A 12,788-nucleotide genomic window follows, 5' to 3' on the forward strand; every position below is an offset into this window, starting at 1 on the left:
GAAAGGCTGGCCATGCCGACTGTTTGCTCCCGGAGCTCTGCGGGCACCCGGAAACATGCAGGGGAGGGTGCAAGCCCGGCACGGTGCCTTCGCTCTCCTTGCCAGGTTCCAAACCGGCCACACTGCAGACTCCCCACGTTGCCGCACGCGGGAATCCATCGTCAGGCCATCACGCCGGGGAGGCATCTCCTCTCTGGGGTCTCGCTCTGGTCTTCTACGTGGAAATGAACGAGAGCCACACGCCTGCGTGTGCGAGACCGTCCCGGCAACGGCGACGCCCACAGGCATTGCCTCCTTCACGGAGAGAGGGCCTGGCACACTCAAGACTCCCACGGAGGTTCAGTTCCACACTCCCCTCCACCCTCCCAGGCTGGTTTCTCCCTGCTGCCGACGCGTGGGAGCCCAGAGAGCGGCTTCCCGTTCCCGCGGGATCCCTGGAGAGGTCCGGAGAGCCGGCCCCCGAAACGCGCCCCCCTCCCCCCTCCCCCCTCTCCCCCTTCCTCTTCGTCTCTCCGGCCCCACCACCACCACCGCCACCACGCCCTCCCCCACCACCCCCCCCACCCCACACCACCACCACCACCACCACCACCACCACCCCGCCGGCCGGCCCCAGGCCTCGACGCCCTGGGTCCCTTCCGGGGTGGGGCGGGCTGTCCCAGGGGGGCTCACCGCCATTCATGAAGGGGTGGAGCCTGCCTGCCCGTGGGCCTTTACAAGGGCGGCTGGCTGGCTGGCTGGCTGTCCGGGCAGGCCTCCTGGCTGCACCTGCCGCAGTGCACAGTCCGGCTGAGGTGCACGGGAGCCCGCCGGCCTCTCTCTGCCCGCGTCCGTCCGTGAAATTGCGGCCGGGGCTCACCGCGATGGCCCTCCCGACACCTTCGGACAGCACCCTCCCCGCGGAAGCCCGGGGACGAGGACGGCGACGGAGACTCGTTTGGACCCCGAGCCAAAGCGAGGCCCTGCGAGCCTGCTTTGAGCGGAACCCGTACCCGGGCATCGCCACCAGAGAACGGCTGGCCCAGGCCATCGGCATTCCGGAGCCCAGGGTCCAGATTTGGTTTCAGAATGAGAGGTCACGCCAGCTGAGGCAGCACCGGCGGGAATCTCGGCCCTGGCCCGGGAGACGCGGCCCGCCAGAAGGCCGGCGAAAGCGGACCGCCGTCACCGGATCCCAGACCGCCCTGCTCCTCCGAGCCTTTGAGAAGGATCGCTTTCCAGGCATCGCCGCCCGGGAGGAGCTGGCCAGAGAGACGGGCCTCCCGGAGTCCAGGATTCAGATCTGGTTTCAGAATCGAAGGGCCAGGCACCCGGGACAGGGTGGCAGGGCGCCCGCGCAGGCAGGCGGCCTGTGCAGCGCGGCCCCCGGCGGGGGTCACCCTGCTCCCTCGTGGGTCGCCTTCGCCCACACCGGCGCGTGGGGAACGGGGCTTCCCGCACCCCACGTGCCCTGCGCGCCTGGGGCTCTCCCACAGGGGGCTTTCGTGAGCCAGGCAGCGAGGGCCGCCCCCGCGCTGCAGCCCAGCCAGGCCGCGCCGGCAGAGGGGATCTCCCAACCTGCCCCGGCGCGCGGGGATTTCGCCTACGCCGCCCCGGCTCCTCCGGACGGGGCGCTCTCCCACCCTCAGGCTCCTCGGTGGCCTCCGCACCCGGGCAAAAGCCGGGAGGACCGGGACCCGCAGCGCGACGGCCTGCCGGGCCCCTGCGCGGTGGCACAGCCTGGGCCCGCTCAAGCGGGGCCGCAGGGCCAAGGGGTGCTTGCGCCACCCACGTCCCAGGGGAGTCCGTGGTGGGGCTGGGGCCGGGGTCCCCAGGTCGCCGGGGCGGCGTGGGAACCCCAAGCCGGGGCAGCTCCACCTCCCCAGCCCGCGCCCCCGGACGCCTCCGCGCGGCAGGGGCAGATGCAAGGCATCCCGGCGCCCTCCCAGGCGCTCCAGGAGCCGGCGCCCTGGTCTGCACTCCCCTGCGGCCTGCTGCTGGATGAGCTCCTGGCGAGCCCGGAGTTTCTGCAGCAGGCGCAACCTCTCCTAGAAACGGAGGCCCCGGGGGAGCTGGAGGCCTCGGAAGAGGCCGCCTCGCTGGAAGCACCCCTCAGCGAGGAAGAATACCGGGCTCTGCTGGAGGAGCTTTAGGACGCGGGGTTGGGACGGGGTCGGGTGGTTCGGGGCAGGGCGGTGGCCTCTCTTTCGCGGGGAACGCCTGGCTGGCTACGGAGGGGCGTGTCTCCGCCCCGCCCCCTCCACCGGGCTGACCGGCCTGGGATTCCTGCCTTCTAGGCCTAGGCCCGGTGAGAGACTCCACACAGCGGAGAACTGCCATTCTTTCCTGGGCATCCCGGGGATCCCAGAGCCGGCCCAGGTACCAGCAGGTGGGCCGCCTACTGCGCACGCGCGGGTTTGCGGGCAGCCGCCTGGGCTGTGGGAGCAGCCCGGGCAGAGCTCTCCTGCCTCTCCACCAGCCCACCCCACCGCCTGACCGCCCCCTCCCCACCCCCACCCCCCGCCCCCGGAAAACGCGTCGTCCCCTGGGCTGGGTGGAGACCCCCGTCCCGCGAAACACCGGGCCCCGCGCAGCGTCCGGGCCTGACACCGCTCCGGCGGCTCGCCTCCTCTGCGCCCCCGCGCCACCGTGGCCCGCCCGCCCGGGCCCCTGCAGCCGCCCAGGTGCCAGCACGGAGCGCCTGGAGGCGGAACGCAGACCCCAGGCCCGGCGCACACCGGGGACGCTGAGCGTTCCAGGCGGGAGGGAAGGCGGGCAGAGATGGAGAGAGGAACGGGAGACCTAGAGGGGCGGAAGGATGGGCGGAGGGACGTTAGGAGGGAGGGAGGGAGGCAGGGAGGCAGGGAGGCAGGGAGGAACGGAGGGAAAGACAGAGCGACGCAGGGACTGGGGGCGGGCGGGAGGGAGCCGGGGACGGGGGGAGGAAGGCAGGGAGGAAAAGCGGTCTTCGGCCTCCGGGAGTAGCGGGACCCCCGCCCTCCGGGAAAACGGTCAGCGTCCGGCGCGGGCTGAGGGCTGGGCCCACAGCCGCCGCGCCGGCCGGCGGGGCACCACCCATTCGCCCCGGTTCCGGGGCCCAGGGAGTGGGCGGTTTCCTCCGGGACAAAAGACCGGGACTCGGGTTGCCGTCGGGTTTTCACCCGCGCGGTTCACAGACCGCACATCCCCAGGCTGAGCCCTGCAACGCGGCGCGAGGCCGACAGCCCCGGCCACGGAGGAGCCACACGCAGGACGACGGAGGCGTGATTTTGGTTTCCGCGTGGCTTTGCCCTCTGCAAGGCGGCCTGTTGCTCACGTCTCTCCGGCCCCCGAAAGGCTGGCCATGCCGACTGTTTGCTCCCGGAGCTCTGCGGGCACCCGGAAACATGCAGGGGAGGGTGCAAGCCCGGCACGGTGCCTTCGCTCTCCTTGCCAGGTTCCAAACCGGCCACACTGCAGACTCCCCACGTTGCCGCACGCGGGAATCCATCGTCAGGCCATCACGCCGGGGAGGCATCTCCTCTCTGGGGTCTCGCTCTGGTCTTCTACGTGGAAATGAACGAGAGCCACACGCCTGCGTGTGCGAGACCGTCCCGGCAACGGCGACGCCCACAGGCATTGCCTCCTTCACGGAGAGAGGGCCTGGCACACTCAAGACTCCCACGGAGGTTCAGTTCCACACTCCCCTCCACCCTCCCAGGCTGGTTTCTCCCTGCTGCCGACGCGTGGGAGCCCAGAGAGCGGCTTCCCGTTCCCGCGGGATCCCTGGAGAGGTCCGGAGAGCCGGCCCCCGAAACGCGCCCCCCTCCCCCCTCCCCCCTCTCCCCCTTCCTCTTCGTCTCTCCGGCCCCACCACCACCACCGCCACCACGCCCTCCCCCACCACCCCCCCCACCCCACACCACCACCACCACCACCACCACCACCACCCCGCCGGCCGGCCCCAGGCCTCGACGCCCTGGGTCCCTTCCGGGGTGGGGCGGGCTGTCCCAGGGGGGCTCACCGCCATTCATGAAGGGGTGGAGCCTGCCTGCCCGTGGGCCTTTACAAGGGCGGCTGGCTGGCTGGCTGGCTGTCCGGGCAGGCCTCCTGGCTGCACCTGCCGCAGTGCACAGTCCGGCTGAGGTGCACGGGAGCCCGCCGGCCTCTCTCTGCCCGCGTCCGTCCGTGAAATTGCGGCCGGGGCTCACCGCGATGGCCCTCCCGACACCTTCGGACAGCACCCTCCCCGCGGAAGCCCGGGGACGAGGACGGCGACGGAGACTCGTTTGGACCCCGAGCCAAAGCGAGGCCCTGCGAGCCTGCTTTGAGCGGAACCCGTACCCGGGCATCGCCACCAGAGAACGGCTGGCCCAGGCCATCGGCATTCCGGAGCCCAGGGTCCAGATTTGGTTTCAGAATGAGAGGTCACGCCAGCTGAGGCAGCACCGGCGGGAATCTCGGCCCTGGCCCGGGAGACGCGGCCCGCCAGAAGGCCGGCGAAAGCGGACCGCCGTCACCGGATTCCAGACCGCCCTGCTCCTCCGAGCCTTTGAGAAGGATCGCTTTCCAGGCATCGCCGCCCGGGAGGAGCTGGCCAGAGAGACGGGCCTCCCGGAGTCCAGGATTCAGATCTGGTTTCAGAATCGAAGGGCCAGGCACCCGGGACAGGGTGGCAGGGCGCCCGCGCAGGCAGGCGGCCTGTGCAGCGCGGCCCCCGGCGGGGGTCACCCTGCTCCCTCGTGGGTCGCCTTCGCCCACACCGGCGCGTGGGGAACGGGGCTTCCCGCACCCCACGTGCCCTGCGCGCCTGGGGCTCTCCCACAGGGGGCTTTCGTGAGCCAGGCAGCGAGGGCCGCCCCCGCGCTGCAGCCCAGCCAGGCCGCGCCGGCAGAGGGGATCTCCCAACCTGCCCCGGCGCGCGGGGATTTCGCCTACGCCGCCCCGGCTCCTCCGGACGGGGCGCTCTCCCACCCTCAGGCTCCTCGGTGGCCTCCGCACCCGGGCAAAAGCCGGGAGGACCGGGACCCGCAGCGCGACGGCCTGCCGGGCCCCTGCGCGGTGGCACAGCCTGGGCCCGCTCAAGCGGGGCCGCAGGGCCAAGGGGTGCTTGCGCCACCCACGTCCCAGGGGAGTCCGTGGTGGGGCTGGGGCCGGGGTCCCCAGGTCGCCGGGGCGGCGTGGGAACCCCAAGCCGGGGCAGCTCCACCTCCCCAGCCCGCGCCCCCGGACGCCTCCGCGCGGCAGGGGCAGATGCAAGGCATCCCGGCGCCCTCCCAGGCGCTCCAGGAGCCGGCGCCCTGGTCTGCACTCCCCTGCGGCCTGCTGCTGGATGAGCTCCTGGCGAGCCCGGAGTTTCTGCAGCAGGCGCAACCTCTCCTAGAAACGGAGGCCCCGGGGGAGCTGGAGGCCTCGGAAGAGGCCGCCTCGCTGGAAGCACCCCTCAGCGAGGAAGAATACCGGGCTCTGCTGGAGGAGCTTTAGGACGCGGGGTTGGGACGGGGTCGGGTGGTTCGGGGCAGGGCGGTGGCCTCTCTTTCGCGGGGAACGCCTGGCTGGCTACGGAGGGGCGTGTCTCCGCCCCGCCCCCTCCACCGGGCTGACCGGCCTGGGATTCCTGCCTTCTAGGCCTAGGCCCGGTGAGAGACTCCACACAGCGGAGAACTGCCATTCTTTCCTGGGCATCCCGGGGATCCCAGAGCCGGCCCAGGTACCAGCAGGTGGGCCGCCTACTGCGCACGCGCGGGTTTGCGGGCAGCCGCCTGGGCTGTGGGAGCAGCCCGGGCAGAGCTCTCCTGCCTCTCCACCAGCCCACCCCGCCGCCTGACCGCCCCCTCCCCACCCCCACCCCCCGCCCCCGGAAAACGCGTCGTCCCCTGGGCTGGGTGGAGACCCCCGTCCCGCGAAACACCGGGCCCCGCGCAGCGTCCGGGCCTGACACCGCTCCGGCGGCTCGCCTCCTCTGCGCCCCCGCGCCACCGTCGCCCGCCCGCCCGGGCCCCTGCAGCCGCCCAGGTGCCAGCACGGAGCGCCTGGCGGCGGAACGCAGACCCCAGGCCCGGCGCACACCGGGGACGCTGAGCGTTCCAGGCGGGAGGGAAGGCGGGCAGAGATGGAGAGAGGAACGGGAGACCTAGAGGGGCGGAAGGATGGGCGGAGGGACGTTAGGAGGGAGGGAGGGAGGCAGGGAGGCAGGGAGGCAGGGAGGAACGGAGGGAAAGACAGAGCGACGCAGGGACTGGGGGCGGGCGGGAGGGAGCCGGGGACGGGGGGAGGAAGGCAGGGAGGAAAAGCGGTCTTCGGCCTCCGGGAGTAGCGGGACCCCCGCCCTCCGGGAAAACGGTCAGCGTCCGGCGCGGGCTGAGGGCTGGGCCCACAGCCGCCGCGCCGGCCGGCGGGGCACCACCCATTCGCCCCGGTTCCGGGGCCCAGGGAGTGGGCGGTTTCCTCCGGGACAAAAGACCGGGACTCGGGTTGCCGTCGGGTTTTCACCCGCGCGGTTCACAGACCGCACATCCCCAGGCTGAGCCCTGCAACGCGGCGCGAGGCCGACAGCCCCGGCCACGGAGGAGCCACACGCAGGACGACGGAGGCGTGATTTTGGTTTCCGCGTGGCTTTGCCCTCTGCAAGGCGGCCTGTTGCTCACGTCTCTCCGGCCCCCGAAAGGCTGGCCATGCCGACTGTTTGCTCCCGGAGCTCTGCGGGCACCCGGAAACATGCAGGGGAGGGTGCAAGCCCGGCACGGTGCCTTCGCTCTCCTTGCCAGGTTCCAAACCGGCCACACTGCAGACTCCCCACGTTGCCGCACGCGGGAATCCATCGTCAGGCCATCACGCCGGGGAGGCATCTCCTCTCTGGGGTCTCGCTCTGGTCTTCTACGTGGAAATGAACGAGAGCCACACGCCTGCGTGTGCGAGACCGTCCCGGCAACGGCGACGCCCACAGGCATTGCCTCCTTCACGGAGAGAGGGCCTGGCACACTCAAGACTCCCACGGAGGTTCAGTTCCACACTCCCCTCCACCCTCCCAGGCTGGTTTCTCCCTGCTGCCGACGCGTGGGAGCCCAGAGAGCGGCTTCCCGTTCCCGCGGGATCCCTGGAGAGGTCCGGAGAGCCGGCCCCCGAAACGCGCCCCCCTCCCCCCTCCCCCCTCTCCACCTTCCTCTTCGTCTCTCCGGCCCCACCACCACCACCGCCACCACGCCCTCCCCCACCACCACCCCCCCCCCACCACCACCACCACCACCACCCCGCCGGCCGGCCCCAGGCCTCGACGCCCTGGGTCCCTTCCGGGGTGGGGCGGGCTGTCCCAGGGGGGCTCACCGCCATTCATGAAGGGGTGGAGCCTGCCTGCCCGTGGGCCTTTACAAGGGCGGCTGGCTGGCTGGCTGGCTGTCCGGGCAGGCCTCCTGGCTGCACCTGCCGCAGTGCACAGTCCGGCTGAGGTGCACGGGAGCCCGCCGGCCTCTCTCTGCCCGCGTCCGTCCGTGAAATTGCGGCCGGGGCTCACCGCGATGGCCCTCCCGACACCTTCGGACAGCACCCTCCCCGCGGAAGCCCGGGGACGAGGACGGCGACGGAGACTCGTTTGGACCCCGAGCCAAAGCGAGGCCCTGCGAGCCTGCTTTGAGCGGAACCCGTACCCGGGCATCGCCACCAGAGAACGGCTGGCCCAGGCCATCGGCATTCCGGAGCCCAGGGTCCAGATTTGGTTTCAGAATGAGAGGTCACGCCAGCTGAGGCAGCACCGGCGGGAATCTCGGCCCTGGCCCGGGAGACGCGGCCCGCCAGAAGGCCGGCGAAAGCGGACCGCCGTCACCGGATCCCAGACCGCCCTGCTCCTCCGAGCCTTTGAGAAGGATCGCTTTCCAGGCATCGCCGCCCGGGAGGAGCTGGCCAGAGAGACGGGCCTCCCGGAGTCCAGGATTCAGATCTGGTTTCAGAATCGAAGGGCCAGGCACCCGGGACAGGGTGGCAGGGCGCCCGCGCAGGCAGGCGGCCTGTGCAGCGCGGCCCCCGGCGGGGGTCACCCTGCTCCCTCGTGGGTCGCCTTCGCCCACACCGGCGCGTGGGGAACGGGGCTTCCCGCACCCCACGTGCCCTGCGCGCCTGGGGCTCTCCCACAGGGGGCTTTCGTGAGCCAGGCAGCGAGGGCCGCCCCCGCGCTGCAGCCCAGCCAGGCCGCGCCGGCAGAGGGGATCTCCCAACCTGCCCCGGCGCGCGGGGATTTCGCCTACGCCGCCCCGGCTCCTCCGGACGGGGCGCTCTCCCACCCTCAGGCTCCTCGGTGGCCTCCGCACCCGGGCAAAAGCCGGGAGGACCGGGACCCGCAGCGCGACGGCCTGCCGGGCCCCTGCGCGGTGGCACAGCCTGGGCCCGCTCAAGCGGGGCCGCAGGGCCAAGGGGTGCTTGCGCCACCCACGTCCCAGGGGAGTCCGTGGTGGGGCTGGGGCCGGGGTCCCCAGGTCGCCGGGGCGGCGTGGGAACCCCAAGCCGGGGCAGCTCCACCTCCCCAGCCCGCGCCCCCGGACGCCTCCGCGCGGCAGGGGCAGATGCAAGGCATCCCGGCGCCCTCCCAGGCGCTCCAGGAGCCGGCGCCCTGGTCTGCACTCCCCTGCGGCCTGCTGCTGGATGAGCTCCTGGCGAGCCCGGAGTTTCTGCAGCAGGCGCAACCTCTCCTAGAAACGGAGGCCCCGGGGGAGCTGGAGGCCTCGGAAGAGGCCGCCTCGCTGGAAGCACCCCTCAGCGAGGAAGAATACCGGGCTCTGCTGGAGGAGCTTTAGGACGCGGGGTTGGGACGGGGTCGGGTGGTTCGGGGCAGGGCGGTGGCCTCTCTTTCGCGGGGAACGCCTGGCTGGCTACGGAGGGGCGTGTCTCCGCCCCGCCCCCTCCACCGGGCTGACCGGCCTGGGATTCCTGCCTTCTAGGCCTAGGCCCGGTGAGAGACTCCACACAGCGGAGAACTGCCATTCTTTCCTGGGCATCCCGGGGATCCCAGAGCCGGCCCAGGTACCAGCAGGTGGGCCGCCTACTGCGCACGCGCGGGTTTGCGGGCAGCCGCCTGGGCTGTGGGAGCAGCCCGGGCAGAGCTCTCCTGCCTCTCCACCAGCCCACCCCGCCGCCTGACCGCCCCCTCCCCACCCCCACCCCCCGCCCCCGGAAAACGCGTCGTCCCCTGGGCTGGGTGGAGACCCCCGTCCCGCGAAACACCGGGCCCCGCGCAGCGTCCGGGCCTGACACCGCTCCGGCGGCTCGCCTCCTCTGCGCCCCCGCGCCACCGTCGCCCGCCCGCCCGGGCCCCTGCAGCCGCCCAGGTGCCAGCACGGAGCGCCTGGCGGTCAAAAGCATACCTCTGTCTGTCTTTGCCCGCTTCCTGGCTAGACCTGCGCGCAGTGCGCACCCCGGGTGACGTGCAAGGGAGCTCGCTGGCCTCTCTGTGCCCTTGTTCGTCCGTGAAATTCTGGCTGAATCTCTCCCCCCACCTTCCGAGGCTGTCTAGGCAAACCTGGATTAGAGTTACATCTCCTGGATGATTAGTTCAGAGATATATCAAAATTCCCCCTCCCTGTGGATCCTATAGAGGATTTGCATCTTTTGTGTGATCAGTGCAGAGATATGTCACAATATCCCCTGTAGAAAAAGCCTGAAATTGATTTACATAACTTCGGTGATCAGTGCAGATGTGTTTCAGAACTCCATAGTAGACTGAACCTAGAGAATGGTTACATCACTTAGGTGATCAGTGTAGAGATATGTTAAAATTCTCGTGTAGACAGAGCCTAGACAATTGTTACATCACCTAGTGATCAGTGCAGGGATAAGTCATAAAGCCTCCTGTAGGCAGAGTGTAGGCAAGTGTTCCCTGCCTGGGCTGATCAGTGCAGAGATATCTCACAAAGCCCCTATAAGCCAAACCTTGACAAGGGTTACATCACCTGTTTGATCAGTGGAAATATATATCACAAAGCCCCCTGTAGACAAAGCCCAGACAATTTTTACATCTCCTGAGTGAGCATTGGAGAGATCTGTCACAATGCCCCTGTAGGCAGAGCTGAGACAAGTGTTACATCATCTGGGTGATCAGTGCAGAGATATGTCAAAACGCTCCTGTAGGCTGAACCTAGACAGGAGTTACATCACCTGGGGGATCAGTGCAGAGATACGTGAGAATTCCCTTGTAGGCAGGGCCTAGACAAGTGTTACATCACCTAGGTTATCAGTGCAGAGATATGTGAGAATTCCCGTGTAGGCAGAGCCTAGACAAGTGTTACATCACCTAGTTTATCAGTGTAATTATTAGTCATAAAGCCTCCTGTAGGCAGAGCGTAGACAAGAGTTCCCTCCTCAGGATGATCAGTGCAGAGATGTGTCACAAAGCCCCTGTAGGCAGAGCCTAGACAAGAGTTTCATCACTTGGTTGATCAGTTCAGAGATGTGTCAGAATGTCCATGTAGGCAGATCTAAGACAAGCGTCCATCACCTGGGTGATCAGTGCAGAGATATGTACCAGTGTCCCCTGTAGGCAGTGCCTAGACAAGAGTTGAATCACCTCAGAGATCAGTGCATAGATATGTCACAAAGCCTTCTGTAGGCAAAGCCCATACAAGGTTTACATCACCTAGGTGATCAGTGCAGTGATATGTCACAAAAATCCCTGTAGACAGAGCCTAGACAAGAGTTACTTCACCTGGGTGATCAGTGCAGATATTTGACACAATGCCCCCATAGACAGAGCCTAGGCAAGACTTCCATCACCTGGGTGATCAGTGCAGAGATATGTCACAAATCCCCCTCTAGGCAGAGTATAGAGAAGAGTCCCATCACCTGGGTGATCAGTGCAGAGATATTTCACAATGCCCCCTGTAGGCAGAGAGTGGACAAGAGTTACATCACCTAGATGATCTGTGCAGAGCTATGTCAAAACGCCCCTGTAGGCAGAGCCTAGATGAGTGTTACATCACCTGGGTGATCATTGCAGAGATACGTCACAATACCCCCTGTAGGTGGGGCCTAGACAAGAGTTACATCACCTGGGTGATCAGTACAGAAATATGTCACAAAGCCCCTGTAGGCAGAGCCTAGACAAGAGTTACATCACCTGGGTTATCAGTGCAGAAATATGTCACAAAGCCCCTGTAGGTCGAGTCTAGACAAGAGTTACATCTCCTGGGTGATCAGTGCAAAGATATGTCACAAAGCCCCCTGTAGACAAATCCCAGAAAATTGTTACATCACCTGGGTGATCAGTGGAGATATGTGTCACAATTCCCCTTTAGGCACAGCTTAGACAAGCGTTACATCACATGAGTGATCATTGCAGAGTTATGTCACTATGCCCCCATAGGCAGATCCAAGACAAGAGTCCATCACCTGGGTGATCAGTGCAGAAATATGCCACAATGCCGCCAGTAGGCAGATATAGACAAGAGTTACATCACCTGCGTGATCACTGCAGAGATATATCACAATGCCCCTGTAGGCAGAGCCTAGACAAGAGTCCCATCACCTGGGTGATCAGTGCAGAGTTATGTCACAATGCCCCTTTTTGGCAGAGCCTAGACAAGGGTTACATCACCTGGGTGATCAGTGCAGAGATATGTCACAATGTCCCTGTAGCCATATCCTTGACAAAAGTGACATCACCTGGGTGATCAGTGCGGAGATATGTCACAATGTCTCCAGTAGGCAGAGCCTAGACAAGAGTTACATCACCTGGGTGATCAGGGCAGAGATATGTCACAATGCCCCCTGTAAGCAGATCCCAGACAAGAGTTGCATCACCTCGGTGATCAGTGCAGAGATACGTCACAATGCCCCTGTAGGCAGAGCCTAGACAAGAGTTACATAACCCAGGTGATCCGTGCAGAGTGATGTCACAACGTCCTCTGTAGGCAGAGACTAGAAAAGAGTTACATTACCTGGGTGATCAGTGCAGAGATATGTCACAATGCCCCCTGTAGGCAGAGCATAGAGAAGAGTTGCATCACCTGGGTGATCAGTGTAGAGATATGTCACAATGTCCCCTGTAGGCAGAGCACAGAGAAGAGTTGCACCACCTGGGTGATCAGTGCAGAGATATGTCACAATGTCCCCTGTAGGCAAAGCCTAGGCAAGAGTTACATCACCTTTGTCATCAGTTCAGGGATATGTGAAAACGCCCCTGTAGGCAGAGCTTAGACAAGAGTTACATCACCTAGTTGATCAGTGCAGAGATATTTCACAATACCCCCTGTAGGCAGATCCTAGACAAGAGTTGCATCACCTGGGTGATCAGTGCAGAGATATTTCACAACGCCCCCTGTAGGCAGAGGGTAGACAAGAGTTACATCACCTAGGTGATCAGTGCAGAGATTTGTCGAAATTCCCTGTAGGCAGTGCTTATAAAAGTGTTACATCACCTAAGTGATCAGTGCAGAGATATGTCACAAAGCTCCTGTAGGCAGAGCTTAGATGAGTTACATCACCTGGGTGATCAGAGCAAAGGTATGTCACAAAGCCCCCTGTAGGCCAAAGCCTAGACAATAGTTACATCACTTGGGTGATCAGTGGCGAGATCTCTCACAATTCCCCTGTAGGCAGAGCTTATACAACAGTTACATCACCTGGGTGATCAGTGCAGATATATGTCACAATGCCCCCATAGGCAGATCCAAGACAAGAGTCCGTCTCCTGGGTGATCAGTGCAGAAATACGTCACAATGCCCCCTTAGGCAGAGCCTAGACAAAAGCCCCATCACCTGGATGATTAGTGCAGAGTTATGTCACAAAGTCCCTTTAGGCAGATCCTAGAAAAGAGTCCCATTACTTGGGTGATCAGTGCAGAGATATGT

The 12,788-nt window shown here is 65.7% G+C and overlaps 3 pseudogenes, besides 1 other annotated feature; all 3 read left to right on the top strand.

Moving 5' to 3' along the window:
• Positions 864-2,388, top strand: DUX4L22 (double homeobox 4 like 22 (pseudogene); annotated as a pseudogene).
• Positions 4,174-5,698, top strand: DUX4L21 (double homeobox 4 like 21 (pseudogene); annotated as a pseudogene).
• DUX4L20 (double homeobox 4 like 20 (pseudogene)) lies at positions 7,473-8,997 on the top strand (annotated as a pseudogene).
• Positions 10,870-11,587: an enhancer, noted in NCBI's record as "OCT4-NANOG-H3K27ac hESC enhancer chr10:135500579-135501296 (GRCh37/hg19 assembly coordinates)". NCBI's record gives its function as "activates a minimal SCP1, AML or CMV promoter by ChIP-STARR-seq in naive and primed H9 embryonic stem cells {active_cell/tissue: H9 hESC(naive and primed)}" and the evidence as "EXISTENCE:reporter gene assay evidence [ECO:0000049][PMID:30033119]".

Source organism: Homo sapiens, chromosome 10 (assembly GCF_000001405.40).
Source record: "Homo sapiens chromosome 10, GRCh38.p14 Primary Assembly".
Classification (NCBI taxonomy): Eukaryota; Metazoa; Chordata; class Mammalia; order Primates; family Hominidae; genus Homo; species Homo sapiens.